The 21,104-nt window shown below is 36.0% G+C and overlaps 1 protein-coding gene across 13 annotated transcripts in view; it reads right to left on the bottom strand.

The window, feature by feature from the left end:
* Positions 1 to 21,104, bottom strand: part of EPB41L5 (erythrocyte membrane protein band 4.1 like 5) — a 166,043-nt gene that overhangs the window by 60,757 nt on the left and 84,182 nt on the right. For 8 of the 13 annotated variants that reach the window (XM_047445208.1, XM_047445210.1, XM_006712651.2 and 5 more), the window contains 2 exons: positions 18,077 to 18,119; positions 17,549 to 17,664 (listed from right to left, as the gene is read on the bottom strand). In XM_047445208.1, coding sequence (XP_047301164.1) covers positions 17,549 to 17,664; positions 18,077 to 18,119 — 159 coding nt within the window. Of the gene's footprint in view, positions 1 to 9,888; positions 14,304 to 16,643; positions 16,775 to 17,548; positions 17,665 to 18,076; positions 18,120 to 21,104 lie in introns of those variants that run through there. The other 5 variants (NM_001184938.4, NM_001330307.2, NM_001184939.3 and 2 more) reach the window with 3 other exon arrangements.

The raw sequence follows: 21,104 nt of genomic DNA, 5'->3' as shown, positions 1-21,104 counted from the left end.
AAGTTAAAGAAAAAATAAATAAATAAATAAATTTAGGTCTGAGACGGGGGTACAATTTTATTCTTTTCTATGTGGACATACAGTTGCCTCAGCACCATGATGAATTTCTTGAAAAGTGAGGTTGACATAATTGGAAAGCCATCTGGAAAATAACAAAATTAGATTTCATTACTCCTATCTTAAACCAAGTTTCAAAATGGATCTGAGATTCAAATGTAAGAAAATTAACCCATACAGTGCTGGAGGCAAGGATAGCTGAATTCCTCTAAAATGTAGCAGTGAGGAAAACTCTATTAAATTCCAGAAACTATTAAAGAAAAAACGGATCAATCTGCTTATATAAAAACTTTTAAAACTTTCGCACAGAAAAATACTAAAAGTAAACAGTGAAAAACTGAAAATATATTTTTGCAGCTTAAATACACAGAGTTAATATCCCAATTATCCACAAAAAAGCTTCTTAAAAGTAGAGAAGAAAAAGGCCAACAGCCTTGTTTAAAAATGGGGAGGGGGCAGGGGGAGAGGAACAAGCAATTTATGGAAAAAATGCAAATGGCTCTTAAACATACAAATATGCTACTGAGAGGGATTTAAATGAAAACTACGTGGAACATATTCATCATGAATCTTGATTATGGTGTTGGTTTCACGGGTCTGTGTCCAAACTCAAAACACTTTAAAGATGCACTTTATTGCACCAAGTGTACCTCGATAAAGCTCTAAGGAAAAAAACACACACTTAGATACCATATATTGTTTTTCAGATTGGCAAAAATCCCAGTCTTTCTTGATCCTTTGTCAGTGAGGCTATGAGAGGTAGAAGCACTCTCATACTCTGCTGGTCAAATGCAGAATCCTCAATGAAGGAGAGTCAGGCAATATCTAGAAAAATTAAAATTCATCTACGACCAAATAAATACCATAATCACACTGAGGAGGAAAGGGTACTAATCCAAGTAAATTTGAAGTGCAATACTTCAACTATATACTCTGTCTAAAAAGGAGAACCATGAAGAAATACTAAATGTCACTTAGATTTGTTGTTGACAGTGGCATGGGTATAGCAATTCTGAAACTGTTTAGCACATATTAACCAAATAGAAGCCAGGTTTCTCGCAGGGAAGAAGGGAGATAGGAATAAGGCATTGGGGAAGGCAATGAACCCTGGCAACTCACTTGGGAGTTAGAGTGTTGGCATGAATTTGGATTAAGAGACCAGAAGAACTTCTAAAGAAGTGGTAATTTCTATTTCTTAACCTGAAGAAAGATACTCAAACTGGAACTGTATTTTTTATAAACTTTTCTCTATATATTTATTTCACAATAAATTTTTAAAATTAAGGGCAAATGAAAAATATTTTCAAGGGTAACATCCAAGATGTTTTTATTATTTTCTAGTAGAAGCTTTAAATGGAAAAATCCTTTTGGATTTTTATATTACGCAAATTCCCAGTTGGTACTGTTTTCACAAACACACTAGTGTATTTTGACATTCATTCTTTTTTTCAGTAGTAGCATAAAGACTTACTACATTTAGGTAGATATAGTGGCTCATGCCTATAATCCCAACACTTTGGGAGGCTGAGGTGGGAGGATCACTTGAGCTCAGGAGTTCAAGACTAGCCTGAGCAACAGAGGAGACTGTATCTCTACAAAAAATAAAAAAAAATAAAAAAATTAGCCAGGTGTGGTAGCATGTGCCTATAGTCCTAGCTACTTGGGAGGCTGAAGTGAGATTACTTGAGTCTAGGAGATTGAGGCTGCAGTGAGCCATGATCAAACCACTGCACTCCAGACTGGAAGAGAGAGCAAGACCCTATCTCAAAAAACAAAACGCCATTCATCATTACTTTTAAGAAAATTTTCCTTCTTTTGGCAAGAAACATTATTTTCATGTTTAAGTTTCCAGTATAAGGCTTTTCCTAATCTTCCTAAATTTGAGGTTAAGAACCAGATTGGTGCAGAAGACTCAATTACCTCCTTCAATCATATAGGAAAAGGAAAGCGCACTGCAGAATCATTGTGAAAGCTGGATGAAATGATGAGAATACTGGAAAAATGTTTTTTCTAAATTTTAAATCTATGTTGATGGGCATACAATGCACAGAGACATATTCTGTAAGAGAAAAACAGCACAAAGTGGGAGACAAAGCTCTATAGAAGCAAAGTTTACATGTACTACTGACATTAAATTGGTATTTAATGTCCAAATAATCCAAACTAGATTGTTTTAAATTAAAATGTTAATTGTAGGCTGGGCAGTATGGCTCATACCTGTAATCCCAGCACTTTGGGAGGCTGAGGCGGGCAGGTCACTTGAGGCCAGAAGTTCAAGACCAGCATGACCAACATGGCAAAACCCTGTCTCTACTAAAAATACAAAAAATTAGCTGAGTGTGGTGGTGCATTCCTATAATCCCAGCTACTTAGGAGGATGAGGTATGAGAATCGCCTGAACCTCGGAGGCAGAGGTTGCAGTGAGTTGAGATCGTGCCACTGCACTCCAGCCTGGGTGACAGTGCAAGACTCTTGTCTCGAAAAATAACATAACGTAACGTAACGTAACATAACACAACATAACATATCACATAACATCAGATCACAACATAACATAAAATGTTAATTATAATCCCCAGGGTAACCATTAAGAAAACAATGTTTTAAAATAGAGAGGGCCAGGCATGGTGGCTCATGTCTGTAATTCCAGCACTTTGGGAGGCCGAGGCAGGCGGATCACAAGGTCAGGAGTTCGAGACCAGCCTGACCAACATGGTGAAACCCCGTCTCTACTAAAAATAAAAAAATAAAAATTAGCCAGGCATGGTGGTGGACACCTGTAATCCCAGCTACTCAGGAGGCTGAGGCAGGAGGTGGAGGTTGCAGTGAGCCGAGATCGTGCCACTGCACTCCCGGCTGGGTGACAGAGTGAGACTCCGTCTCAAAAAACAAATAAATAAAATAGTAAGAGAAAGAAAAAAGAACTGAAATGGTACACCAGAACATATCTACTTAACACAAAAGGCAGTAATGGAAGAAGTGAGAAACAAAAAAAGACATGACATACAGAAACAAATGAAACAGCATAAGTCCTTCCTTATCAGTAAGTACACTGAATGTAAATGTTAAACTGTCCAATTAAAAGACAGAGATTGGCAAAATGAATTAAAAAACATGATCCAACTGTATGCTGTCTAGAAGGGATACACTTCAGATTCTAACACACAAAAAGACTGAAATAAAAAGGAAAAAATGTACCATCCAAACACTAACGAAAAAAGGGATGAAGTGGCTATACTAACATCAAGCAAAAGAAACTGTAAGATAAAAATTGTTGCTAAAGACAAAGAAGGACATTTTACAATGACAAAAGGAAAATCATCAAGAAAATATTACAATTATAAACATACATATAACTAAAACCAGAGTACCCAAACACATAAAGCTAAATCAGAAGTTTAGAGATAGACAACAATAGTTCTTTCACTTTATGAGCAGAAAAACTAGATAAGTTTATCTTCTGATCAATAAATAAACAGAAGATGAACAGTATCATAAACCAAAGACTGAACAGGCATACACAGAATGCTCCACTAACAGAATATACATTCATCTCAAGTACAAACGGAACATTCTCCAAAACCAACCATACTGCACAGAATAAAAAAATTTTCAAAAGTATGTATCTGCTAATGGACTTATATCTTAAATATATAAAGAACTCTCACAATTCAATAATAAAAGGACAAATAACCAGATTTTTTAAATGGGCAAAGAATGAAATGCAGGTGCTCTTCAACTGATGATGGGGTTATATCCTGATAATGTAAATTGAAAATGCACTTAATACAGCAAACCTACAGAGCATTATAGCTTACCCGAGCCTACATTAACTGTGCTCAGAACACTTACATTAGCCTGCAGTTTGACAAAATCATCTAACACAAAGCCTATTTTTAAACAAAGTGTTCAATATCTTATGTACCACATATTACAGCCCAGGAAAAGATCAAAATTCAAATTTCAACATTATGTCAAAATTACAACAGTTTCACACCATCATAAGTTGAAAACTCTTAAGTCAAGCCATTAAGTTGGAAACTGTCTGTAGATACTTCTCTAAAGAAGATAAGCAAAAAGTCAATAAGCAGATCAAAATATACCAACATCATCCAGCTCCACAATACACTACTTCACAACTAGGATGCCTATAATAAAAAAGACAGGCAATAGTAAGTGTTGGTGAAGATGTGGAAAAACTGGAACCCACATGGTGTGGCCACTCTGAAAAACAATTTGGCAGTTCCTCAACATGTTAAAAATAGAGTTACTATATGACCCAATAATTTCACTCCTATGGATATAACCATGACAATTGAGAACACATGTTCATACAAAACCTACACCTCAATGTTCATAGCATCATTCACAAAAAGCAGAAATTCAAATATCTATCAACTGACAATGGATAAATAAAACACTGGGCATCATACAAGGGAATATTATTAAGCCATTAAAAGGAATCAAGTACTAATACATGCTAAAACAGATGACCTTGAAAACACCATACCAAGTGAAAGTCAGACACAAAAGAACACCCACTGTATGATTCTACTTTTAGGAAATTTCCAGAATGGGCAAATCTATAGAAACACAAAGTAAATTAGTGTTTGCCAGGGGCTAGTAGGAAGGAATAATTGATAGTAACTGCTAATAGGAAAGAGGTTTCTTTTGGGGATAAAAATGTTACGGAATTAAATAGTGGTGATGGTTGTACACCTTTGTGAATAAACTAAACCCACTGAATTATACACTTAAATTTTTTTAAACGTAGTTACACATAATATTATTAATCTGTGGCTTTGGTAATGTCTTAGTTCATATCCATCTCTCAAGAATGTATAAAGAAATATGTAAAGACATTCTTTCTTCTACCTATTTCCTTACTTTTCATGGACACTTGCCTGTGTAAACTGAAGCAGTTTTCCTTGTCTCCTTCCATAATTTGGAGTAATTTATTGTTAAAGTTGTGAATGATAGCTAAGAAAAGCAATGTTACCCTCACTCCCATTTTCTGAAAGCCTGTTTATCTAGTTAGGTTCTTGCATGTGTGCGTGCACTTACTAATATATACATGATTTGGTTGCTTTCACAAAAATGGGAACAAACCTCAGACACTTAAGTTTTAAACTCAACAGTGTCACTGATATCCTCTAGTAAAAGTACATGAAAACTGACCTGATTCTTTAACAATTACATAGAATGGAGGCAGCATATTTTTATAATACAATCCAGTCTTCCACCAATTGGAATTCATTCTTCACACTGCCCCCTAAAATAGAATTATTACATTCCTTTTTACTCTCTACAATCTGGACCCCAACAACCTTTACAGAGTTATGGAGGCAGTACAGTAGCCAAGGCTGGGTTCTAGGACTAAGCTGTCTTGAGTTTGAAGCCCAGCCTCATTGTTCTGTGCCTTCATTTCTTCACTAGCCTGAATACCTTATAGATCCTCATAAGGATTAAATGAGGATGCTTTGCTAGAGTGAATACTTACTGCTGTACCTCCAGAACAATGTCTGGCACAGAAGCACTCAAGTATTAGCTATTATTATCACGATACCTTCCCATAAATTCTATACTCTTTACTCAAACCTGATTCATCATTCCTGGACTACACCTTGCACTTAGCTACTTTAGAATTTTCTTTTCCTATAGGTCCCTGGGCCCGTAATGATTTATCCATTCAAAGCTCCTTTCTGTTTCACTGGAAACCTGATGCAAATGCCAAGAAGCCTTCTTAACTTCAACCACTTCTACTCTTCTTGCTTGCTGGATTTAGCACTTTATCAGTTATTTGTAAAACTGTTTATCTCCACAGTTTGAGTATAAATTTCTTGAAGCCAAGAACAGTATTTTGACTATTTCTGCATCACCAGATGTGCCAAGACATGCTTGGTATTCATTGATTCAATCAAATAATATATATGGAGTGTCTGAGGATACAGAAGGAAACAAAATAAATGCTCTCCCTTAACGGAGCGTACATTCTGTTGAAAAACGGACACTCTGACTTACCCAATAGGGTTATGTCCTGAGAAACCCATCGTAAGTCAAAAATGCACTTAATACTCTCATAAACCCATCATAAAGTTGAAAAATCCTAAGAATCATCATAAGGGACTATCTGTATAGAGAGGACAAACAAACACATACTAAGATGAAAGGAGTGAGAAAAAATAAAGCAGGGTAAGGCAGACAGGAAATAAAAAGAAGACTGGGCAGGGGGCGGGGAACATGATTATTTCAGAGTGGTCAGGAAAGGCTTCTCCAATAAGAAACCTGATGGTGCCGGAATGAACCATAAGAGATTGAAGGGAGGAATACTCAGGAAGCAGTAAAAGTACAAAGATCCTGAGAGAACATGCTTGGTATGTTTGAGCAAGTATAAGAAGATGAGTCTTTGGATGTAAGCAAGGTCAGGATTGATAGAAGATAAAGGGAGGAAAAAGCATGTTTCTATCAATGTGAGGATCTGAGGTTTTACTCCGAGACAAGGACGCTGGCAGGTGTAAGCAGAGAAATGACATGATCTGCTGTTATCACTACAGCTGCTGAAAGGAGTACCAGACAGTAGAGGAGCAAGGGCAATGGCAAGGAGGCCAGGTAAGAGGGCAGGGCTGACAACAAATGGAAACAGGATGGGAGCAGTAAAGATGGTAACAAGCAGTAGACCTGGATACATTTTGAAGACAGAACTGACAGAATTTACTGATTCTGAAAGAAATCTGGAGTGTGAGACAAAGAGGAGTCAAGATGACTATAAGGTGCTCTGGTCTAAGTCAGTGCTTCTCAAACTTCAGTATGCATCAGAATCTCCAGGAGGGCATGTGAAACAGATTGCTGGACCTCACTTCCAGTGTTTCTGATTCAGCAGGTCTAAAGTAGAGCCCAAGACACGCTTAGCAACACGAAAAAGAGAACTGCCACTTACGAAGCTACAAAAACCACAAAGATGGGAAAAACTGCAGGGGTCAGGAGATATATTTGTCCAATTTTGAACATATTAAATTCGGGATGCCCAATATCACTTCTGCAGTATTTTCTCCCAAATCCGTGGCCTCAAACTAATCATGTGAAAATACCACACAAACCCAAATCAAGAAATATTCCACAAGGCATCTGGCCAACCATGAAAAACATGGAATGGCTGTCACAGGCTGAAGGGGACTAAATGTAACATGGGATCTCGGGTCAGATCCTGGAAAATTTGTGGAAAGACTAGTGAAACCTGAGTAAGGTCCAGTTTAGTTTGTGGTATTGTACCAATGTTAATTTCTTAGGTTTTGTGAAACAAACAAAATCTAAGAAATTAACATTGGTACAAGTTATGGAATGTATGTGGAGTGTTAACAACAGGGGGCCAGGAGCGGTGGCTCACACCTGTAATCCCAGCACTTTGGGAGGCCAAGGCGGGCAGATCAGGATCATTTGAGGCCAGGGGTTTGAGACCAGCCTGGCCAACATGGTGAAGCCCCGTTTCTACTAAAAAATACAAAAATTAGCTGGGCATGGTGGCGCACTCCTGTAGTCCCAGCTACTCCGGAAGCTGAGGCTGGAGAATTGCTGAAACCCAGGAGGCGGAGGCTGCAGTAAGCAGAGATTGCATCATTGCACTCCAGCCTCGGCAAGAGTGAGACTTGGTCTCAAAAAAAAAAAAAAAAAAATAGGGGAAGGTAGGGCAGGAGGGTGTGGGAATTTCTGTACTATCCCTGAAACTGTTCTGTAAGCTGAACATTACCTCAAAATAAAGAATATTTAAAATGAGATGCCTATATTAGATGCCTAAGTAGAGATGTCAGATAGGCAGTTGGATATGTAAGTGTGGAAATTTAAAAGTTCAGGGTGATGATATAAACTGAGAAATTGCCAGTGTGTATAGATAGCATTTAAAACCATAATGCTGGATGATATTACAAAGGGAATAAATTGTTACGGGAAAGTTCCTTAAACAGAGTTTAGGGGTTGGAGAGATAAGTAGGCATTAGCAAAGGGGATTAAAAACAATGGCTTGTTAGAAGACAATGGCGTGTTAGAAGGGAGGTTAGAAGACAATAAAAAATAGTGACATCTCTAAGCTAGGTGATGACAATTTCGTGAAGTGAGCGATTTCTGAATGCTAATTAAGCTGACTAAAAGATGGACTGTGGGATTAGAAATATGCAGGTCATTTGTGATCTAATAAAGCTATTTTGGTGGAGTAGTAGCATAACACTATTAACTCAAGGCAGAGCCTTTATATGGATTAAAACAATGCTCCTCTGAAAAGACACATCCAATTTGCAAAATTGTCAAATACACTAATCTTTTCGGAACAAGACACTTAGTGCCATCTGCTGGAAAATCACTGTCATAAATTATGTGAACATCATTCTCCTAAATGTGGCACTCTTGTACAGTATGCAATCTGCACAATCATACCCAGTCCTCTGTGTCAGGGACAATGTTTGATTAGAATGGGTTCAAGAGATTAAGAGAAAGAAGAGATAGCAAGTATAGACAATTCTTACAAAGCAAACAGTTTTGCTACCTGTGAAACAAAAAAATGGAGGAATTGCCAAAAGAGGTAGATTCAAGGGAGTTCTTTTTTAAATGATGTGAGCTATCTTAGGAAGTTTTTGTTCTGATGAGAATACTTCAGTAGAAAGGGAAAACCGATGCAGTAGAACAAAACGGAGGATTGCTCAAATGATGGTCTTGAGTAACTTGAGGTGAGGATCTAAATGACTAGTGAGGACCTGGGCCTTAGAGTATGGATGGTTCACCTAGAGTAACAGCAGGGAAAGCAAGGAACAAATTCCCAAATGCAGGTAAGTTCACTGATAAAATGGTGGGAGTACAGAGAAGACCTCTTCTGATTGCTTATGTTTTCAATAAAGTAGGAAGCAAGGTCATCAGCTGAGAACAGAGTAGGAAGGGAGGAAGTGGTTTGTAAGAGGAGGAAGTGGTTTGTAAGAGGAGAAAGTCAGCCCAGCATTGTAGGAGAACAAATAGATTAAGGAAATGTAATATGGTATCAGGGAGCATTGAAGGCTCACTTGAGCTTAGTGGTCAAAATTTAAAGACCACTCAAAAATTTTGTGTGTATTTCACATTCACCAGCTATATGCAGAGTATACAGAGTTGGATTTAACCAGATGCATACAACAGGAAGAGGGTCAAGAAATTCAAGGGTATGTGGAAAGGCATAATGATAAGTGGCTGTGTATAAAGAAGACCCAATGAGGTACTCTGGTAGGTGTCCAACAAATAAGATGAATCAAAAAAAGAGATATCAATACAAGACTCCTGAAATCTTTCACTGCAACAAATGCCCCAGGCCTCCTTACCAAATGTGGATGACTCAGACTGATATTCAATGCCTTTACTACTCAAATATTTTAATGTTATTATTCCAACATGATTGTGAAATTTCAAAGTGATAACCTGGATATTCCAGAGAACCCAATCTTCCCAGGTCTTTCTAATTATCCAAGAGTTTTGCTGATGATGTCCCCAGAAAGATTTAATGCGAGTTATTAAACACAGGTCTTATCTCCAAACTTCTACAGTTTATAATTAAATAATTCCTGAAGCTATTGGTGGGGCTACAAATACAGTTTTGTAATAAGAAACTCTTCTCTGTTAATGGGTATAAATTCCAGTGGTATTTTGCATCCTCTAATGTTTTCCACAATTTATCTGAATACTCCTCTAACTAGTTCCACAAGGTAAATCAAGCCAGCAATCATCTTCCTATTATCATAACCTTTTATTTTTCATTTTTTAACTCTACCCCTAATAATTTAAAATATTTTGCATTTATTATTATCAATGATTAGTCATGTCTGTAGATGCGAGCTTTATTAAGGAATCTGCAATTTCTTACAAATCTTAATCATACACTGGATCTCAATTCTTTATTAAAAGTAGTTAAAAACAAAACAAATAAAACTTCCTTCAACAACAAAAAATGAGCTACAGCTGTCAAACCTGTTTTTATGAGGAGGTACATTATTACACCATTAAGGAAGTCTTCAGTCACAATCCTTGGAAAACACTGTTCTCTGAATCAGATATCTCTTTTCCATGCCAATATAAACACAATGCTGGCCAGCTGTCAGGAACAAAATGTAAAATGTTCACTCAAGCACCACCACCTAGAACTGAGGCCACAGCTTGTAACACAGAAGCTTAGGTAATTATCTAATAATAATAAAATTGTGACAACAATTCCTTCAGGAAGAACAGGAACAATTGTTTGTCTACTTCAGTATAAAAATAACAATAAAAAAGCCAAAGTTATTTTCCTTTCACCAATTTCTTTTAAAATTTTCTCTTCTCTTCACTCATTCTTTTAACAAAGACACTATGTATTTCCCTTCTCACCAGCCCAAAGTGCTCAAAGCAACTAAAGTGCATTACTACATTAGCAATTGTCAGGAATTGATGAAAGAAATGAAGTTCCTTGACATATTTTACACTGAAAGTGACATGCTTCATGTCCTAATTTCTACACCACCAAGGTTAACGTTAATGGAACAAGATTCCATTCTCACAATGTTTTCATGTGACTAAAGTAAAAAATTGTATGAACAGAGGATGAGAAATGTTTATGTTCTGCAAAAGGGGGTTAGAGGAAGACTACCATATCTAAATCCACGATTCATAGTATCTAGAAAGGATCTGACAAATCACATTTTATACATGGGGGTAGGGGAAGAGGCTGGCATGGAGAAGGAAGGAGAGAAAGTTGTTTCCCCACCGCAGAATTATCTCCAAATCCTAGCCCTTATGTAAAAGCATCTCACATACAAGCATTCACAACAATCCTGGAAAGCAAGATATAACTGATGATGTGGTATAACACATATTAAAATTCAGGAAGGAAGAATGTGGTGGGAAAGAGAGAAAACGTTATTGAGACAAGATGATTTTGTTTTAGCAAATCCATAAGTCCTAATACCAATCATAAAAAATAGTAACTGTAATATTTTCAAACCAATATTCAAAGACTAACACTAAAATAACAGCCTCTCAAAGCAATGAACCATGGTTTAGAAATGAAGAGTGTGCCCTGACCAAAGACAGTACCATGGCTCAAACAACTATAGCTCCCACCACTGGGGCACGATGAACTAATAGGGGACAACCACCTTCAAACTTGTTCAGTTTACATTAGTAAATAAAAAGATCCAACCTGGCGATGTACCTTTTGAACAGTGAACAACAATGAAAAGAAATTTTTAAAAAAAGATCCAACCAAGTGTTATAAATAACATTTTTTGGCCAACACTTTAAATAAACTCCCCTCCAAAAAAAAAAAGATGATTTGAATTATACTGGTATTACAATATTAGTGTTTGTATACTAGGTGCTTTTCAAAACAGACATATTATACACATAGTAGGACAAATAAAATTTATTTTTCTCTGTAAATTCATTTAAAAGTATGTTATCTATGATTATCCTATCAAGGTCAGAAATGTTAGATCTTACTCCAAGATAGGTAAACGCCTTTGAAACGCAACAAAAAGAGACGATGATCTTATGAGCTCATTTATGTTCATGCGTGAAAGTGTGAAGGTCACTAGCTTTGCTGTGTTTCTACAAGTTTCCTTGACTGTAAAAACAGTCAAAATGTAACCAACCTAATTCAAGATGTTAAATTAATTAAGTTAAATAAAATTAGCCAAAGCACTGTAAATTAAATGACATAATACTTAAGTTCTGTACTGATGACACCCTTTGATCAAAAGGATGGTGACCCAGTAAGGTGCTTCTGGAGGTTATTACTTCTCTAATTCCGAATTTATCATCACTGACTCTTTAGGCATAATAAAATGTAGAGTGTAAATAGGTTGGTGACAATTTATTTAATTTAGGTTGAGCTACTTATAAATACCTGAGAGCTCTGGAAACAACATATATATCCATCTTGCAAATATCAGTAAAAAGAACAAGTATTTGCAATATTTGATATGAAATTCTGAAGCATATGGGAACTTCTATAAAATAGACAAGTTTAATTTTACTACCATCCAGCCTTAGCCCTTTACTTTCCTCACCCCTATCGCTGCCTCCATCCCTAACACCCCTCCAATCCAGTTTCTCTCATCAGGAATTCGCAAATCAATTCTTTACAACAAGGTTTTCAACAAAAGAAAAATCATGAGGTGAATCTTCCCTTAAATGTAACAGTACTGATTAACTCAAATTATAAATACAGAAATGGCCACTTTCAATATGAACTGAAGATCTTACTCTTCAATTACAATCTGCTAAGATATATATGGGGCATTATATGAGCATGTCCTGCAGATTAAGAATAATTTTAAAGTGAGTGAAGTCAAATCTTACAACTTCATTGTGCCTCTTTGGTTTTTACTATAGAAACAGTACTTTTTTTAATGATATACATACCCATGAAACCTTTTCTTGAATGGCACAACCCAGAGCTTCTGTGCTTAAAATGTTATAATCCAAATTCCTCTCTTTTAAGAAAAAAAATCAGCCATGACAATACTTAGCAATTATCATCTGAGCTATGTAAAGTCTAAAACAACTATAAGGGCCATACATTAGTGGCCATTTTTAAGCTTGCTAAACGATGATGGGCTTAAAGAGGTGGGAGCCGGGCTATTTAAGATACAGATCTATTTATATTTAGAGGATGTGCTAAATACTTTGAGTGGCCATCCTCTTACACATAATTATACTAAACTCAGATTGAAACCTGCCTACAAATTTCATTCTTTAAATATTAGTCAGTTCTGCTTATTTAGGTCTTCTATGGACAAACTGCAACCAACCATTCAGTATTAAACCAATAGTCCAGTATTAAGCCCTCTGAAACCTTAATCTTTGTCTGGCAGGAAGGATTTGAGATATAAAACCAACCTCTATGTGAGCAGGATGCATTAAATGAGTTAAGCTGTTTATAATGAAGCTTCATTATCTTGAAGCATTATAAACTCTTCGAAATATAAAATATCTATAAATTTCTATGTACATAGTTTAAAAATTTGAAAATTTTTCTAAAATATAAAAGAAAACTAAAAAAAGACAGAAGAAATGCTTCCCTTAACATGTTTTCCTATCAGAAATGGACTTTTTCCAGCTAATTCACTTCTATTAATTAAACCAAGGAGCTTGAAATTCTAAAGTTTAAAAAGGATCAAAAATAGTAATACAATCTAAAAATCATATGGTTTTGGCTTCAGAATTTTATTTTAAAGGTTATACAGGATCAGATTATGAGACTGTTGCAAACCTGGGTAATCTGTCAGGTGTATGAGATGAAAGAGAAAAGCCAGTCAAATGAAAAGACAAAGTAAATATGTTTTTCATTTTATAGAACCATTCAGTAGTAATGTAACCATTCAGTTAACCACTGGTTAACTGTTATGATAACTGAATGTTAATCAGTTAACCATTCAAAACTAACCATTCAGATTTCTCTATACATGAGCCACATTATTAATGTGATCTCTAAATCTTTTGGTAAGTTAAAATATTCGTGTTTATTAAAAAGTAAAAGTGTTTGTAATTAAAAATTATATTAATTAAAATCTTAGGCACTTAAATTAAGGTATGTGTCACTTTAGACATATTAAAATAGTGTATAAGAACAAGTTTTTAATAAATATCTCAAAAGGCTGATATATTATGCCTAGACATGCTTCCACTGTGTTTTTAGTGTGTCTGATTCTTTTAACCTCGATCTCTTTGGATGGCATGTGGTGGGGGAATAATGGGCACCTTGTTCACAAACACAAACCTTCTCCTGAGATACAGTCTGGTGATGTGTGAACATACTAAGGTCTGAAAACTCTTCCAAAACCACAATGGTATACACACTCTTTTCAACACAAACATTTGTCATTATCATTGATGCTATATGGCTTCCTTGATTCCTTGTCCCTTTCATGGAAGAATTCAATTACAAACAGCACTGAACAACTAGTGACTCACTGTAAATTCTCCCAAATACTCCTAATGTGATTAATCCTTTATAAACACCAGATAATGTATACCATCAACTTGCATGACAAAGAGTCCCAAAGCCTAAGAGGCTCAACACTCATATCTCAGTCATGGCTGTATGGCCAGGAAAATGAACATCATGACGGATTCCTGCATTCTTCACATTGTGCTCATGAACAAAGTCAGTGTAGTTTCTATGTGCGGTCTGGGGTGGGGGCAAGGCCCTTGTGTTCCACTGGTTTCCACCACGTTGACAGCAGTCGCTGGCAGCAGAGAGCCTGGATGGTTGGGGAGTGGGAGGGGAGCACAGTTAGTCAATAGGAATAGGAGAAAATGGATGTGTAAGAGACAATAAAGGGGAAAGGTAATGTGACTAGCATGCACTGCTGCTATGAGTAGTTACCAGCATCTACTCCATGCAATGATAACATTCAAGAATAACAAAGTGGGGGAAATCCACAAAGTTACATGTAATGAAAAATACCAATATGGAAATACATGTAAGTAATCTGAGTCAGCTAAGTGAATTAAAGAAGAAATTTCTCAGAAAGCAAGACACTCTGTATCTGTCCCTGATGTTGTTACTAATATTAAAAGCAGAAATGTTGTTAGGGGTTTTAATCAGAAGAAAAAAATATTCATAATCTACTTAACTTCAAATATTTGAAAAAAGAACTCTACATAAGGACAAAAGCATATATGGAAAAGGAAAACTGTGAAAATTCTTCCTCAAATTATGGGATTTCACAGAACTGAAATGCAGGAAACAAAATTCAGAAAGAGCACTAAAAATAAAAAATCTACCTTCAGAGGCCATGTAATTTTACATCAATGTTCCCAATTAGCAATAGAGAATCATCGCTCCTTATATAATCAAAGTTCACAAGACCTCAAAATGAAATTCAACAGGTACAGATAATGTGATGAGATGATACACCCTCTCCAAGAAGTAGTTTAGTAAGCATATTAGGCACCTTTTATCACAGTGCTATAGAAAAGGCCTATAGAATTCTAAGAGTGAAACATGCATACATGCAGTTCTTGGTCAGAACTGATCAGAGTCCTCCAGTAGAAAGAAAGCAAATCAAAGTCTTGTGACATGGCAGAAAGGGCAGCATATATTTAAAATAACTACAAAGGAAAATGCCACCCCAAATATAAAATATGTGCAAAAATACATTTTTAATAAGTGTTATCTTTCTAACTCAACCAAAACATTAATCTTCACCTTTATCCCTTAGGGAAACTGAAAATAAATTAACTAAAATAATTTTTCAAAACAAAATTGGAAGGCTTTTTTAATAACAAAATCATCTTTCTTTTAACTGAAATACAATTTGTTCATCAGACCTGGCTCACAAAAATCACAACCCTCAAGTTATGGTCTCTAAAAATTTAGAAAACTAAATTAGGTTTATGTTCTCCCCTACCAATGCAAGGTTTTCTAAACACTATTCAGTTTTGTTTCTGTTGTTGCTTACAAATGATTTATGGGTTTACAATACATGAATTGTTTCTCAAAAAGTGAAATTTTAAATACTTGATTATTCTAAGCCACTGATATGCCAAATCATTTGCTCTAATAATGGTGTCATTTAAAAGATACCAGCAAAAAAATGCTGAAGACTTGAACAGGGAGTAGGTGTAGATTAAATTGGTTGAAAGTTACCTGCAAGCAATAGAATGGTCCATTATTCTGCCCAATTGTTCAAACATAGGAAGCATTTCCAAATTTTAACCATTTATCACTTTCTAAAGGAGGACTGCTTTATATTCTTTTGAAAGCATTAACAAGAATCAAAGCATGCAGAAAAAAGAATGAAATGCAGAACACATATGAAATTAAGGCGGGAGAGTCCATTATCTCCAAAACATGCCAGCTCTATATTCAGTTCCATGCCCTTGTTGACCTACACTGAGGCTTATTATGTTATAAAGAGCATCACTTTACTCTATTTCAGCAAAGGAGGTCTCAGCACAACCACATAAAGAAAGGAGAACACACAGCTCCAAATTTTTCATTTTCCTTAAAATTTAATAAATTCAATGCTCTTTCTAAAGGATGCATCAAAGAAACCAAGTAGTACCTAACAAATCAAATCAAACAGGTTTAAATATGTACCTATTCATATGGAAAAACTCAAAGATTCAGTGTCGTAATATAGTATCCCAACTAATCAGACCCTCACTCCATATTAACATAATAGGCAAAGACACTTCCTTTATAGCTGAAGTCTCAATACTATTTTTCCTTGCAAACAGAACTTGGTGGTAACATCAATGAGATAAAACATAACTGCTTACAGGAGCTGTGTTTTCCATAAGAAATTGAAGAAACTTTCTAAAAATGACTTTCAAAAATAAATTTGACATTTATAAGCCTCACTCTTTACACTTTTAAGTGTGTCCCCAGATGCACACAAATATACACAAAGTATCACCACCACATACCCATGTAGAAAGAAAATAAAAAGGAGAAAATGGGGCCAGGGGAGAAGGGAACTCAATCTTATAAACTAATCACAAGTTATTTGGAACTGAAATAAAAATACACCCAAGTATCAAGAGCAAGGCACCCTGCAGTTAGTTAAGCCAAAATAACAGTGAAAAATAATTACATAGCAAAGACTGAAAACAATCACCAACCACTGTTGAGCCACCACCATGAAGGAAGAACTGGCTGCACAGAAAGCTGACCAAAACCTTGAGATCACCACAGAAATGCATTAGATTTCAGGTACTAAACAAACTAAGAGCAAGAGAAAAAGAGAAAAATCCTATGAATTATCAAAATTCATTTCACAAACAGACAAATAACTTGAACAGGTGATACACCCAACATGACCACTGAATCAAATAATCCCCAAGGAGCCCCCACCAAGCCACATATATTTATTTGGGAAAGGATAAACTCAAGTGATTAACTCCAATAAGACACAAAGTATCCATATTTGTATATTTACTATTAATCTAAAAAAAGAACCTGGAAGTCTAAATAATTAAAGTATCTTTTTCCTGTCATCAGATTCTCTCTCAGTCTCCTTAGGGTATCTCATGCTTTATCAGATTTTAATCATGTTTTGCTTCTGACTTTACCCTTCGTCTTTAATGAGAAAAACACATTCAAAGTAGCATCATGTTGTGTGGAATAACACGTAGTGGATATACTTTCCTTACGGACCTGGGAAAATATTCTACTGTCTTTTTCAGCAGAGAATCATCCACCACTACCACATCAAGCTAATAAGGGCAGATTTATTTTAAATGTATTAACGTTTTGTTTCAAATAAATAATAAGTAAGGACAGCTGTCTGATGGTCTTCATTTAGACAACTGCACTCCCTTTATCACCAACATCCTTATTTTCCCCATCTCAATATGATTATTTAATAATAAGCTTTCCAGCTCACAAATATGAATAATTTGCTTTCAATCATATTTAAAGTACTTTAAGATTATGACTTGGAATTCCAAATACAATTAACTAGGCAATATTTTATTTTAGTTTAAGGAATTAACAAACCATTTCCTGTCATGCTGGTCTGTTCCAGGACTCTGTGGAAGATTCTCTATCTCCACTGGCACAGGAGCAGAGGAAATGGAAGGACTCACAGGCAGAGCAGATCTCATCCCCCAAGCCTTTGGACAAAAATTATAAAAATTATCTATTTTGCCTCGATAACAGATCTCTTCACCAACAAATACTAAAATGGAGTACTATTTACAAAGCCAACAATTAAAATGTATACAAATGCTTGAATTTTATATACACCTTAGAGATAGTTAATGAATGAAATATTAGTAGTCAGTTAAATTATGTTCTTGGATTCACAGAGACATAAAATGTTTTATAGAGCACCGGTTTCCTTTACAAAATCTTAGAGAATAAAATAACCGGAAGTTATTACTGAACCACTTAAGGGAAAAGGAAAAGAAAATGCACATAATTTGTGCAGGGTTACATACACCACTATGAAAATCCAATCAATACTACTACTGTTACCATAATTAACGGGTGATCCAGTGTTTTAGAAGCTTAGTATTGTCTTACCTGTTGGGAGCCATTACTTTGGGTCGAAACATTATTGTGAACACTGTAATGGGAAAAAAAAATCAATTAAAAACCCTATATGAAATTTCAGGACTTCATTTTGTAAGATAACACATACACTAATAAAATATTTATTTTAAAGATATTAACGTTTTGTTTCAAATAAAGAATAAAACTACTGCTAGTACCTAAAACTAAGAATGTCAGATACCTGAAAACATTTGTTCTTATAGGCAAATACTTGCTTTTCTATAGTTGCTCATTTGATGTTTCCATACACCTATATTTTAATCATGCTTTAGAGGTATACTTCACAACTGTTTATTCATTGGACAACAGCTATCAAGGATGGCCTAACAAAGACAGCAACACAATCCCACATAAACTTATCTGTCACTTCTTTTGTATATTCCTACCCTCAAGATTTTCCAGTGTCGGCAACAACTCAGCGTTTTATAACTCAAAAGGCCTTAGTATAAAAGGTTTAGAAAGTTTGAAACTTCTCTGTGTACACCTTCCTCTCCAAATGACTTATAAACACGTTCTAAAATTTTCAGTTTAGGCCAGGCATGGTGGCTCACGCCTGTAATCCCAGCACTTTGGGAGGCTGAGGTGGGCGATCACGAGGCCAGGAGATCGAGACCATCCTGGCTAACACGGTGAAACCCTGTCTCTACTAAAAATACAAAAAATTAGCTGGGTGTGGTGGCGGGCACCTGTAGTCCCAGCTACTTGGGAGGCTGAGGCAGGAGAATGGCGTGAACCCAGGAGGTGGAGCTTGCAGTGAGCTGAGATCGTGCCACTGCACTCCGGCCTGGGCGACAGGGCGAGACTCCATCTCAAAAAAAAAAAATTTTCAGTTCAGTTTGTACCCATCCCCACCCCGCCATTCCCACAAAAAGCACTTGAAAAAACCCTCAACCTATAATACAAAAAAAAAAACCCAGAAACTACAGAACAACAGAAAAAAAAATTCAGTAAAATAAAAACTCAAAGATGAACTATAACTCACAACAAAATGAGAAAAAAAGTTTCCTAATGTCAGACATTCTAAAACAAGGATAAATGGTATCCCTGAAGTAAGAAATTCAACTAATGTAAAAAATAATTCAAAAATATAAAAAAATTCCTTGAAAGTGAGAAAATAATTTACAGATTTAACGACAGCACTGTGTTTCAGGAAAATGAGACAGAAAATGAAATGCAATCGATCCCCTATTGTTCAGCCACTCAACTTCAAGGATAAGGAAAGAATACTTCGGGTACCCCGAGCAGATTTAAAAGTAAATCACTACCAATTATCAGGTTGGCAAAGGCCTCCCATAGCAGTAATCAAGAATATTATTTTATAACCAGCCAACATGTCATTCTACTAAGAGGAAACAGGCAAAGCTCTCAAACACAACCTCTGAATAGAGGATCCAGAAGCCTTTCTAACAAGGTGAGAGCAAAAAACCGCTACCTGATAATGAAAGCCAACCAGTTAAGAACCTAAGAATGAAGAGAGGCCCTGCTAAAACGCTGGGGAATGAAGAGTGAACATATTTTATATTCTATTTTTTTAAGAACTACAGATCAATTACAAGTTGAGTCACTATAACTTGCACTATCACTGTCTGGGTTCAAAGCCAAGCTGTGTCACTAGGTCTATTCTGTACACCTTGGGTTGCTCATTTGCATGAGACTGTTAGAACAACTAAATGAGTTAATATTAGCAAAATACAAATAACAGTGATTACAACAACAACAAAATACCTTTCAAAGAAATACTATTGGTGAGGCATGGTGGCTCATGCCTGTAATCCTAGCACTCTCAGGGGCCGAGGCAGGAGGACTGCCTGAGCCTAGGACTTTGAGACCAGCCTGGGCAACAGAGCCAGACCTCCAACTCTACAAAAAATTAAAAAATAGCTACGTGTGAGGGTGCGTGCCTGTAGTAGTCTCAGATACTTTGGAGGCTGAGGCAGGAGGACTGCCTGATCCCAGGAGGTTGAGGCTACAGTGAGCCATGATGATGCCACTGCATTGCAGCCTGGGTGACAGGGCAAGACCCTGTCTCAAAAAACAACAACAACAACAAAACCCCACCCCACCAAAACACACACACACACACACACACACACACACACAAAACAAACAATTTAGTGCAGATCCACTGCCATGGCAATTTTAAAGATTATACCCATCAGGCACAATTTCTTTTTACTAACCATGTTGCTCTTCCTAGAATACCCATGATCCTAAGTCTTAATGAAATCTCACCCAGCCTGCTTGGTACAGAAGTTAGACCTACTAGTCCACAGTTCCTTGGTTATTCTCTGAAGCTTTTCCTTTAACTAGAAATAACTTTAGTAGGTGATCAATAAGATTAACATGAGAACAAAATATTTATAAGTGATGTTAATTGAACCATAGCTTCCTGTTTTAAATTGTATGAAATACAGAAAGCATTATTTTCTGATAATTATATACATTCTTTCACTTCCATGAATATGAAGGAATTACTGAATTATTTCTCATTACTAACCTAGTTCAAGCTTCCCTTTTTAAAGGACTACATACAATAACTGACCATTTTTGCTTTTACATAGTATACCTTCTACTCATTTGATTTCCTCTACCATTTTTTCTTTTCCTCTTTCCTGTCTTCAAGACTGCATATTAAGCCTGTATAAGAAGTACTAGTAATTGAAATGTCAACTATCCTTTAAAACATCACCTCTTAAATACTTTATAGTATTCATGACTCACAAGAATAGTTAAGAGCCAAAACAGTACAAGAAAAATGACTGACATTAGCCAATTAAAAAATCTGTTATTCAAATGGGCATTTTACAAAACTGCAGAATACAAGGTCGAGAAGATTTTCAGGTCAAATAGTTGTGCCTTTTCAAACAGTACTGTTTTCCATGGTTCAATAGAGCAAAACTGTTCATACAAACAGAAATGGAAGGGCAAGAGTGAAAGGGCATACAACATGCCAGTCTGAGCTCAGGTTTTCTCAAGCACTGCGATGGGTGGTGCTCAA

The sequence above is a fragment of the Homo sapiens genome, chromosome 2 (assembly GCF_000001405.40).
Source record: "Homo sapiens chromosome 2, GRCh38.p14 Primary Assembly".
In the NCBI taxonomy this organism is placed as follows: Eukaryota; Metazoa; Chordata; class Mammalia; order Primates; family Hominidae; genus Homo; species Homo sapiens.
The sequence above is the reverse complement of the archived record's forward strand: the minus strand, read 5'-3'. Positions and strand labels throughout refer to the sequence as shown.